This window comes from Homo sapiens, chromosome 13 (genome assembly GCF_000001405.40).
Source record: "Homo sapiens chromosome 13, GRCh38.p14 Primary Assembly".
Classification (NCBI taxonomy): domain Eukaryota; kingdom Metazoa; phylum Chordata; class Mammalia; order Primates; family Hominidae; genus Homo; species Homo sapiens.
In genome coordinates, this window is record NC_000013.11 from 96,983,335 (window position 1) to 96,995,043 (window position 11,709).

The 11,709-nt window shown below is 42.6% G+C and overlaps 1 protein-coding gene and 1 long non-coding RNA gene across 7 annotated transcripts in view, besides 3 other annotated features; both read right to left on the reverse strand.

Moving 5' to 3' along the window:
• LINC00359 (long intergenic non-protein coding RNA 359) overlaps positions 1–838 on the reverse strand; it is a 42,892-nt gene extending 42,054 nt beyond the window's left edge. Inside the window, exon 1 of the long non-coding RNA NR_051966.1 lies at positions 726–838. This is a non-coding gene — a long non-coding RNA (long intergenic non-protein coding RNA 359). The remainder of the gene's footprint in view (positions 1–725) is intronic.
• Positions 727–776: an enhancer, noted in NCBI's record as "active region_7884". NCBI's record gives its function as "activates an Ori minimal core promoter by ATAC-STARR-seq in GM12878 lymphoblastoid cells {active_cell/tissue: GM12878}" and the evidence as "EXISTENCE:reporter gene assay evidence [ECO:0000049][PMID:35858748]".
• Positions 817–896: an enhancer, noted in NCBI's record as "active region_7885". NCBI's record gives its function as "activates an Ori minimal core promoter by ATAC-STARR-seq in GM12878 lymphoblastoid cells {active_cell/tissue: GM12878}" and the evidence as "EXISTENCE:reporter gene assay evidence [ECO:0000049][PMID:35858748]".
• Positions 947–1,086: an enhancer, noted in NCBI's record as "active region_7886". NCBI's record gives its function as "activates an Ori minimal core promoter by ATAC-STARR-seq in GM12878 lymphoblastoid cells {active_cell/tissue: GM12878}" and the evidence as "EXISTENCE:reporter gene assay evidence [ECO:0000049][PMID:35858748]".
• Positions 2,379–11,396, reverse strand: OXGR1 (oxoglutarate receptor 1). Of its 6 annotated transcripts, none has more exons than XM_047430274.1 (4): positions 11,235–11,396; positions 9,174–9,238; positions 6,424–6,475; positions 2,379–4,441 (listed from the first exon to the last, which is right to left on the reverse strand). In XM_047430274.1, the coding sequence occupies exon 4, from the start codon at positions 4,423–4,425 to the stop codon at positions 3,412–3,414; it is 1,014 nt and encodes a 337-aa protein (XP_047286230.1). In that variant the 5' UTR covers positions 4,426–4,441; positions 6,424–6,475; positions 9,174–9,238; positions 11,235–11,396; the 3' UTR covers positions 2,379–3,411. The 6 variants fall into 6 exon arrangements, with proteins under 6 accessions (XP_047286230.1, NP_001333126.1, NP_001333124.1 ...); NM_001346197.2 differs by having other exon boundaries at positions 9,088–9,238; NM_001346195.2 differs by having other exon boundaries at positions 2,379–4,499; positions 9,088–9,238.
• Positions 11,397–11,709: the final 313 nt, after the last annotated feature.

Here is an 11,709-nt window from a genome sequence, read left to right on the forward strand (position 1 = left end):
GGGAGGGGTGAGAAGGAGGAAGAAAGGAATGAAAGAAAACAGGGAAGGAAGGGAAGGGAAAGAAAGGGAAGGGAAACGAAGGGAAGGGAAAGGGGGAAGGAAATAACAACAAATAATCTGTATCTAATCTAACCTATAGCTTTACCTTCCAAATTACTGCAAATATGCAGGTTGGAGGAATGTGATAAATAACAAAATGGAATTAAAACAGTCGGACCTGCAATGTGAAAAATTCTATAGGACAAATGACTTGACTTGATTTCTTCAGCAAATAAACGGCAATTAATTAAGAAAAGGGGAGCTCCTTTAGATTAAAATAAATTGAAGAGTCATATCAACCAAATGCAATGCATGGAGCTTCCTTTGATCCTGATTTGAAAAAAAAAACTGTATAAACATACTTTGGGGGGAAACAGGGGTAATGAAACATGGATTAGTATTAGATGATATTGAGAAATCAGTTATTATTTTGTTTTGGTTTTGTATGTTTTGAAAGAAATCTGTGTTGAAGCATCTGTAGGTAAAACTGTATGTTGTCTAGAATTTGCTTTTAAATATTCTAGCAACAAAGATGTGGGAAGAGAGAGATAAAACCTGAAGGGTGGGATGTTGGCTATTGATGAAATTAAGACATGGGTTACATGAGGCCATTTGGCTCCTTTTTAAATTTTGTGACTGTTTGAAAATGTCCACAATAAAGAGTTACAAATAACGCAAGGGATTACCATGTCTCAGAAGTTTGGAACAGGTTTTTCTGGCTTCCCCATATGCAGGTGCAGTGAGCCTGACTTGCGCTTTCGGTTCTCACACAGCGAGTAGACCTGAGTAGCTGTGCCCTGGCGGACACAGTCAGAGCTCTGCTCTTTTGTTCTCATTCTGTCTTCCTCTGCCTAGGCCTGGTTGTATGCAGCAAGGTCACACAGTTCCCATTCTAGCCTGGGAAATATCATCAATCCCTTTTTTTGGCCTCAGTTCAAAACTGCCTCCTTCAGCACAAATAACCCAGAACTCTTAACTTTGTAAAATAAAACTCATCCTTTGAATTAAATTTAGCTTGGATCTCTGTGATTCTGTTCTATCGGAAGAACCCTAGAGGGCAGACTGTCATCTGCACCCAACCCACAGCTGTGGGAAGCAGATTAGGTAACAGAACGACATAAAAGCTTAATCAAGGGGAGGCATTTTTCGGATAATGGAAAATTATGCATGCTTCCAAGCTGAGGTCAATTATCCAGGGTAATAAAAATATTAAAAACGTGAGAAAGTGAGATTAAGTGTTGGAGCAAGGTCCCTAAGAGAGCAAAATAAAGACCAGAGATAAAGTGCAAGAATTCCTGCCAGAAGGATGATTTGTTTTTCTGTACATTGGTAGGAAGAAGGTAAAAAATAAAAGAAGCTACACAGATGAGTTGAGAAAGACATGAAGGATGTTGAAGTGGCTTTTCTCTGGTGGGTAAACTCTTTTTTTTTTTTTTTTTTTTGAGACGGAGTCTCGCTCTGTCGCTCAGCCTGGAGTGCAGTGGCGCCATCTCGGCTCACTGCAAGCTCCGCCTCCCCGGTTTACGCCATTCTCCTGCCTCAGTCTCCTGAGTAGCTGGGACTACCAGCGCCCGCCACCACGCCCGGCTAATTTTTTGTAATTTTTTGAGACAGGGTTTCACCATGTTAGCCAGGATGGTCTCCATCTCCAGACCTCGTGATCCGCCCGCCTCGGCCTCCCAAAGTGTTGAGATTACAGGCGTGAGCCACTGCACCCTGCCAACTCTTTGGAATAAGAAGGAATAAAGATGAGGAGAGAAAGAAAAGGGGTTTGTGCCCAAGGCTAGAATAACGACAGCAGTGGAATACAGGCAAGTCTGTCTGCACTTTAGTGATAGCCCAGGGGCTGGGCTAGGCATCGGGGAAAAGAAAAAGAGCTAGCAGTTCCAGGTGGACCTCTGAATACTTCTCGATGCTGTACAGCCAGGGCAGATGAGCAAATTGGGGTCCTCTAGTGAAATAGCTTATTCCACATGTTATAGAAAGGCTCAGAAGAAGATGGCTCAGAAGGTAGGGATTGCAAAAAGCACCATTGTCCAGAAAACTTCATGTTCAGATCCATCGGCTTGCTCTTCCTTCTCTCAACTTGCTCTGAAGAGGTTCCTGATGAATATCCTCACTTAAGTCTAAGTCAGATGTCATGTCCTAGAAGAACTGGAACATCAGGAAGAATTTCTATGGTACCCTTCCCTCTGTGTAAGTCAACTATTTCTGCCTTATTCTATAATATTATTGATTCTTAACTTATTTTTGTTCCTAACCATAGAGCAAATAAGTTTCATGTAAATATAATAGTGATAAAACTGCATTTTCACAGAAAAATATGACCAAACAGCCTATTACATAATTATAAATAAGTTTATTAACTGTACCAACATGTTTATGAGGGTTTTAAATATCCAGACCATGTGTTTTCTCAAATATTTATACTTACCGATAATTAAGCACACATACAATTCAAAAATATCTTTAGCTATCACATAGACATATGTTCATTGTAGTCATAAAAGAACAAGGAGTCTAAAGAGAATTAGCGTTTCCTGGAATATTTTCCCACAAAAATCAAAACAGTGTTAGATATGATTGAACACCCAATACATACATGACATCTGAAAGTGACTTCTGTCCTAGAAAGTTTCCCTTCCTTCCCCAGGACATGTTAATAATGATGAATACAATTTGATAATTTTCATACATTCAATAAAAACTTTTTAACAACAATAAAGACATAATACTCCAAATATATTGCAGGTACTAATTTCAACTATTTGCATGGACGTCCTTGGATTATTTCAAGGGTATCTTACTGGCTTGAAGTAATATACAGAACTGGCTAAACCCAGTTTTATAATCTCAAAGTTAAGCTTGAAGGAAACAAATTGTAGAGCTCTGAGATGTAAAAAATAAATATTAAGAAAGATACAAGTAGTGGTTTGAATTGTCTAATGGTTCAATACAAATAGGCCCAGAGTGCAGAGAAGCATGAAATGATGAGTGAAAAGATTGGTTTTCTCCTATCTTGGCACAAATTTACTGAGCAATCTAGGGCAAGGGTAAGAAATTGGTTTCCGTGTATATATAGTAAGTTGGTGGGAACAGATGTTCTCTAAGATGCCTCTGAGTTCCAATAGCTTGTAATACTATGTCTGAATACTTTGCTGATATACATGCATCCCATTCTTATATCTCCCCAGTGGAGGAGCTCAATAAAGGGATTGCAAAGAACTAGAAGCTCTGCCCTGGCTTTGGCACATGATTACTTGAATACACAGTATTTACCAGGAGTTCCATTGAGGGAGACATCCTGAACATCTTAGGATGCTAGGTAAAGTATCAGCAAGTATTTGTTTTTGGTTAAGTAAATGAAATATTTCAAGGGTTGTTTGAGTAACTAATTTTCTTTGCTTGCTCAAGGTTCCCGCTTACTTTGCATCTCACTGTTGAGCAGACAGCCTGCTGAAAGTTGTCGCTGACCACCACATATAGTAACAGGTTACCAAAGGTGTTCAGAGCAGCTAATGGTCTAGAAACGATGTAAGCTTCATGGATCTGATTCTCAATGGAACAACTGATTGAAAGCAGGCGAGATTCGATCCGAATGACCCTCAAGATATGGAAGGGTAAAAAACATACGTAAAATGCAAGGAGTAGCAGAATGGTTAGCCTTCGTGCTTTCTGCTTAAGGCAGCTGTCAGTTTGCAGTCCATGGGTCAGAGTGTGGATAATCGTGGTATAGCAAAGTGTCACTATCACCAAGGGGAGGCAGAAAGTAGTTGCAGTCAAAATCAGGTTGTACCACTTAATAGTATTGAGTTCATCCGAACTGGTGAGGTCGAGACAGGCTGATCTGTTGGTCCTGTTGGTTGATGTGATCAAGAAGGTCATCGGAATGACAGCTACCAGTGAAATGATCCACACCACAGCACAGGCTACAACTGCACATCGAGTTTTGTGAATGGAAAAGCAGCTCATTGGGTGAATGATCACACAGTAGCGGAAGATGCTGAAACAGGTGAGGAAGAGGATGCTGCTATACAGGTTGAAATGGAAGCTGAAGCGGATAAACTTACACATGAAATCTCCAAAGATCCAGTTTTCGCCACTGGCATAGTAGTGAATCAGGAAGGGGAGGCTGGTCAGATACAGCAGATCTGTGCAGGCCAGGTTCAGCATAATGATGGTGCTGCTCTTCCAAGGTCTCATTTTGAAAATGTAAGTGGATATCACTACTGCATTGCCTGGAAATCCCACGAGGAAGATAATGCCATAAATAACAGGGAGGTAGTGCATCTTGAGTGGGATGTTTTCATCAGTGCAATTTCCAAAAGCAGCTGCATAATCGGGGAAATCAGAAGCATTTGCTAAATAGTCTAGTGGCTCATTCATGGTTGTCTCCTTTCATCTTGCAAGAAAACAAGAGAGTTCAGTTTGGCAATATGAATCAAATGAGCAGTAACTCGCTGATAAAGGAAAACAGAAAACATTAATGATAGGGTAATAAAAACAAGGATCTACTTTTAAATGAAAATTATTCTAACATCCTAAATTTGCCACTTCTCTCTCTTTAATCTCAAAAGAGACCCTGTGGAGAAGAAATTGAATTTCCAAGAAAATGACTATGAGGCAAGTTACTAAATGCATCTAATAAAAATATAAAAGTTAAATTACCATGAGAGTTAAAATGAGGGATTGGGAGAAAAAAGCCACATGTCGCTTTGGAAAACAATTTGGCAAGGTCACCATTTGGAGAAGCCATAGGGTATCGCCATTAGAGACTTAACAACAGGACCTACTATTAACCAAGTGTGATGCATGCCACCATCACTTACTTCTACATGTCACAAAATACTGAAAAGTGTTTCTTATTACCTCTATTTTACAAGAGACTAAGACTGAGAAATGTTTTGCGGCTCGTCTCTGGTAACACATCTAGGGGCTTAGCTGGGATCCACACTCGCATTTTTCTGACTCAAAAGCCATTCCCTTTCTACATTACCTCTCAGTGCTGCCTCTCAATCTGTATTTTGTTGATTTTCGTCATGATTGCCGTAAATAACGGAGGGAACAAGTGTGAAGACAGGAAAATGCTGAATACTGTAAATTTTAAAAATATAGATTGCACGTATTGCAACATTGTATTTGTGGTAGATTTAATTGCACATTTCCACTCTTCCAATTCCTTTTAATAGCTAACATAATTTGTTTGTGCAGGGGAGTGTGTGTGTTGGGGTGGATGGGGCGGGATCAATGGTATAATGCGGCCATTAGGAGGCTGAGCCCTGAAGCCAGATGGCCAGATTTTGGTGCTCAGATTAGCCATTTAGTAGCGTGTTCCTAAGCAAGTTGATTAAGCTCTCTAGGGCTGGAAGGAGTGCAATTTTAACTTCCTTCTTCTTGCTTATTAGTGTTTTTAAAAATTTTGACGGTGAATTTTTGCAATGAGAAAAGTACATCTAGAAGAAGAGTTATAATTAGCTTATTATTTGGATGTAAATAGCTGTTGGTGAAATGCATCCAAGTCCACATTTCTGGAGCACCCACTCTGTATTGGGTCCTCTGTCAAGTCCTAGAGATACAAACTGAATAACACACACAGATGTATATGCCACTGTCACAGTCTACTGGGGAAGTGGACATGGCAAATTATTTTAACAAAATATAAACCCACCTCATGGAGCTGTCAATAGTATGTTAAAAATAGGAAAAAAAACTCTTGGCTCACTACTGGGCACATAAGAAAAGCTTAAAAAATATTACGTGATTGTTAGTTGCTAAGTCATTTGATGTATGAATGGTACAAGACTACTGAGATCACAAGGGAAGGAGGAAACATCAGAGTCTGCCACCATTATTACTATTATCTGATACTAAATCTACACTATCCAGCATTTCCTGAGAGGAGTACAGAGGTATATTTCAAACTAACCCAACTTGACAAATCCTAAATTAGCAGAATCAGTCCTTCTTGACTGCCCTGAGTATACTCTTCCAAATCTCACTTAGTCCAGGAGGTCTGGGGGAGTTGTAAGGAAATCAGCATGGTTATGGGATATTGGGAGATGAAGTTGGGAAGGAAAAATAGGGATTAATAAAAAATAATAGTGCCTTCTGTGTACAAAGCATTACTGTAAGTGTCTTACATATTTGAATCTATTTAATCCTCACAACAAATGGTGAGGTAGTGCTGTGATCATCCCCATTCAACAGAAGAGGAAACTGAGGCACGGAGGAGGCAGTGATGTGCTCAAAGTCAAACCGCTAGTTAGGGGTGAGCCAGGATACGACTGTGGCAGTCTTGTTGCAGGGCTGGGCTGCATCTCACAATGAGTAGGCAAGAGGGAAATCTGAAGTGCCTGTAATCACAAAGACCAGTTAGCACATTACCTCTCAGTGCTGTCTCTTCATGTGTATTTTGTTGATTTTCATCAGGATTACCCTAAATAATAGAGGGAAAAACAAGTGTGAAGACAGGAAAAGGCTGAATATCTCAGAAAGCTCAATAAATCAAACACTGTAGAGTTGTCCCTTAGTATCTGCAGTGCATTGGTTCCCAGACCCCCAAGGATACCAAAATCTGCAGATGCTCACGTCACTGATATAAAAATAAAATGGTATGGTATTTACACTTAACCTATGCCCATCCTCCTGTAAATCATCTCTAGATTACTTATAATACCTAATGCAACATAGATGTTAAAAGTGCTATTCATGAAACTATCATCTACACAGCACTGGAGGTCATAGGAGTCAGGGACTGCTGACCAGTGAGAGTGCTCTGAAGCCAGGCAACCACAGTGGATGGCTTCTCCCTTGGCAGAATGTCTTAAATGGACTCATGCATAAGGAGCAGGAAGTCACTTAAACTTGAAAGAAAATGGTCACAGCCAAGGAGTCCCAGAAGCAGCACGTCCCAAAGACAGTTCTTAGATTATGTCAAGAGGCCACTAAGTAGCTAATGTTGCTTCTGGAGCAAAGAAGTAAAGATAGTTTTAGTAACGCCCAAAATAATTCTCCAGAGTTATTTCATTCCAATTGGGATTTGCCTCAACAGAGACGTGAGAGGAAGAGAAGGGGAGGGAATTCAAGTCCAAGCTGCTTATTTGTCAGCTCCTTGAAAGAAAAACACAAGTCACCTCATACCCCAGGGGCTGGCACATGGAAGGTGTGCAGTAAATATTAATATTTGCTGAATGCATTAAAGAACAACCAGTAACATCAGCAAAACTTATATGGTACTGAAGGGCTACTGAAGGGGCAACTATCATTCTAAAAAAAAGCTTGGTTCTTAGGCCAGGCACAGTGGCTCAAGCCTGTAACCTCAGCACTTTGGGAGGCTGAGGCAGGCGGATCGCCCAAGGTCAGGAGTTCGAGACCTGCCTGGCCAGCATTGCAAAACTCCGTCTCTATTAAAAATACAAAAAAAAACGTAGCTGGGTGTGGTGGCCCATGCCTATAGTCCCAGCTACTTGGGAGGCTGAGGCACGAGAATCGCTTGAACCTGGGAGGTGTAGGCTGCAGTAAGCCGAGATTGAGCCACTGTACTACAGCCTGAGTGACACAGCAAGACTCTTTCAAAAAAAAAAAAAAAAGCAAGCTTAGATCTTTCATGACTTTTAAAGTAGGAAGCAAAATTACAATTCCTGTCATTGCCAAATAAACCCTTAGCCATGTTATGGAGACCATTTTAAACAATAATTCTATGAAGAAAAGATGGGTTATAGGTAGAAACAACTGCCTTATTGTTCTGAAAAACAATAGTTCAATTCAGATTGAATGAAGACTGACTAGCCAATTGTAAGGGTGGAGGGGTTGACTAGGAAGCTTAATCTGTGTTCCATAAAACCTCATAAAAGTATGAGTTTACAAAATACGTGTGATGTTAACAACAGCACACAAAAAACCGGTCTGGGCTGTGAGCAGGTAGGATGAAGCTGTTTCTTTCCTCCCTAGCTTCAGGGCCCAGTGCAATTCACTGCCACAACTCAGAACACCAGATGGTCCACAAACAAATCATTTCAACTCAAAGGACATTAAAGACAAATGTGGCACAACCCTGGGTATATTCCCTTCTCTTTCTACAACAGTAGTTCTCAAACGTGAGGAGGTTACAAATCACTTGAAACCAATGGGTTCTTTGCAAGCAAGAAATAATGATGTATTCAGCTTTAACATAACCAAAAATATAAGTGTGAACTAAGCTAGGTTCAGCATGAATAAAAGCCAGCATCAAAGGTTGGAATAAACTTGTGAAGAAAAAGCTTATAATTTTAGTACAATCACTATGGAGAACAGTTTGGAGGTTCCTCAGCAAACTAAAAACTGAGCTACCATATGATCCAGCATTTCCACTGCTGAGTATATACCCAAAAGAAAGGAAATCAGTATATCAAAGAGCTATCCGCATTCCCATGTTTGTTGCAGCCCTGTTCACAGTAGCCAAGATTTGGAAGCAACCTAAGTGTCCATCCACAGATGAATGGATAAAGAAAATGTGGTACTTATACATGGTGGAGTACTATTCAGCCATAAAAAAGAATGAGATCCTGTCATTTGCAACCTCATGGGTAGAACTGGAGGTCATTATGGGAAGTGAAAAAAGCCAGGCATGGAAAGACAAACATTGCATGTTCTCACTCATTCATGGGATCTAAAAATCAAAACAACTGAACTCATGGGCATAGAGAGTAGAAGGATGGTTACCAGAAGCTGGGAAGAGTAGTGGGGGACTGGTGGAGGGGATGGCTAATGTGTACAAAAAAAAAAAGAAAGGTAGAAAGAATGAATAAGACCTACTATTTGATGGCACAATGGGGTGACCATAGTCATAATAACTTAATTGCACATTTTTAAATAAAGAAGGTAAGTGGATTGTTTGTATTAATAACACAAAGGATGCATGCTCGAGTGGATGGATACCCCATTCTCTATGATGTGCTTATTTCACATTGCATGCCTGTATCAAAATATCTCATGTACCCCATAATTATATATACCTGCTATGTATCCACAAAAATTAAGAAATAAAAAAATTGTTAAGAAAAAGCTTACAATTTTAGCCTTTTTTTCTCTGAAATTGGAAAGTAGCTGTGATTGTTTGAGGCTAGCTGCAGGATGTCAATATTTGGGTAACACACCGTTCGTGGACCGCTGTCCTGATGCCAGCACACCCAGGAACCTCACGGATTGGGATTCCAAGATTCTGTGGGTAAAGAAGGCAGGATCAGAAATGCTATCCAGTTAAGTGGCAGCAGATACTACTTCACCTCCACAGAGTACTCTTGCCTATTTGGGAACAAAGAAAGTGGGATTAATGATGAAATGTGATTTTCCTAAGGTGCCTGTTGGTTTTGCAGATCAGCTTTGTTGGATAAGTTAAGCTCATTATCCAACAATGCCTGTACCTCTCCCTGCTCTCCTCCCTCTCCCCCAGACTCCCTGGGTTTTTCTGGTTCTGCTCCCATGCTGAGGTCACAGTTGGTTCTTTCCTCCTTTTCCCAAGATGCCAATGGACGAGGGAGGTGCACAGTTGGAACACTTAATCTGTTACCTTCTCTCCAGAGTCCTTGGAAGCTCCAAAGCTGGGGTCACTTTGGGTTGTCAAAAAGAAACTTAAGTAGACCTTTCATTCACAAAGACTTACTTCGATTTCCCAGTCTACATATTTGAAAACTAATTGTACTTCATACTGGTGGAAAAGAGACCAATTCTTAAAACAGGTAAATTTGTGACTGGGTAAGTGCTGTCCTCCCTGGTCCCTGAAGGAATCTTTCTCCCCAACCCTTCTGGGAGCCTCAAGGCTCTTCCCTCAATCCCCACTTTATTGTTTTTTGTTTGTTTGTGTTATTATTGTTGTTGTTGTTTTGGAGACGAAATCTTGCTCTGTCGCCCAGACTGGAGTGCAGTGGCCATGATCTTGGCGCACTTCAACCTCCACCTCCTGGGTTCAAGGGATCCTCCTGCCTCAGCCTCGGAGTGGCTGGGATTACAGGCCCGTTCCACCACGTCTGGCTAATTTTTTGTATTTGTATAGAGACAGGGTTTCACCAGCCTGTTGGCCAGGCTGGTCTCGAACTACTGACCTCAGGTGATCCACCTGCCTCAGCCTCCCAAAGTGCTGGGATTACAGACGTGAGCCACACACCCGGCCAATCCCCAATTCGTTAAATAAGAATCTGCAACTCAGTTTCCCTGAAGACTATTAAGAGGTCATGTTGATGCAGCCCAAAGATATGGTTTTGCCTATTTATTCTTCGGGAGAAACAAATACAACTTCTGAGAGCTCGCTTCAGAAAAATGCATGCATGGACACGCAAATATTATACATACAAGTTAGAGGTTTAGAGACCATTACAAGCTAGTTCACGAATCCATAGCAACGAAACAAAAAACAAGACAGAGAAGAAAGACATTTCAGGGGAAACATTTTCCTCGCTTGTTGGGGGTGGGGGTGGGGCAGAGTCTTTGGTCGTTTCCAACACCACACAGTCCACCACGATGCAGGGTGAGCTTTGAGAACATTCAGCAGGGCGGTGATCAATGGGGTGAGGGATTAACTCTGTTTGTCTCCTAAGCACTCTCCCTGCCCACCTCCCAGACCCCTCACTTGGGTGTGAAAAAAAGTGTGAGATGAAATCAGAGATCCCTAACTCCCCCAGTTCTCTCCAAGTCAAATGTCTTCTCGCCCTGGGCTTTTTGTTCCCTAAAATGAAACTTCGCCTCCCGCCACAGGATCTGGGGTGCTCCTGCTGCCTCCAGAGAAGAAGGGGGCGCTGCTCCGTCCGACCCTGCCTGCTGCAGGGACGTGCGGGGGTGCTCTTTCCCCTGCTCCTCGGGCACCTCCCGTCTCCCTCCGGGTCAGGGCAGGGTCCCCTATACCCGCTCCCTCCGGCCGGTGGGCCCCGCTCCCCGATCACGCGCGGCTCACCTGGCAGCCCCGGCGAGGCGGACATGCGCCCAGCGTGCCTGTGCAGCCTAGTTGGTCCCGGACCGCAGACCTGTCCCGGGGAGGCTGCGCACCGCCCCGCCCCTCCCACCCCTCCGAGGCCCAGCGAGCAAGTGCGTGTTCTCGGGTCCTCGCCCCGAGCAGCCTGGCCAGCAGCATCCCGCCTCGCCCACTTCCCAGTAGACACAGGGACAGCGGCTTCCACTCCCGGGACCTCTGGACATCCTCCATCCCGGTTTGGCGGGAAACTGACCCAGGAGAAAGTGTTTGCAGAGGTTCCAAAAAACCAGCCCGGCGGGAGGGTTGTTGCCCCAGGAGGGTTGTGGCCGCCTTGTCTTGGTCCAGAAATTTCACCACTCTCCTACAGCCCAGTGCCTCTTTTTTTTTTTTTTCTTTTGAGAAGGAGTCTCGCTCTGTCGCCCAGGCGTCCAGTGCCTCTTATTTAGCGTGGGATGGAGGCGACTTACTGAAGCGTTGTCATTTCCCTGTATCCAATTACAACCCTGCCCTCCAGCGCTTAGCAAGGTGGCTTAAAAATAGTTTCTATCCCTGCAAAGAGCGTTTGTCTGTATCTCCAGATCTAGGGAGTAGGTTGCCTTCTTGCTACATAACTTAGGATTCGCCTTTTCTCTTCTCTGAACCTCAGCCACATCGTCCAGTATACTAGCGCCTCCCGAACCGTTGAACTTCAAGATCTCTTCCAGCATCAAAGAGTTCACTGTATTAGC

Bases quoted from the DNA above. Each gene is read 5' to 3' on its own strand.
- OXGR1 (XM_047430274.1), bottom strand. From the start codon at position 4,425: ATGAATGAGCCACTAGACTATTTAGCAAATGCTTCTGATTTCCCCGAT.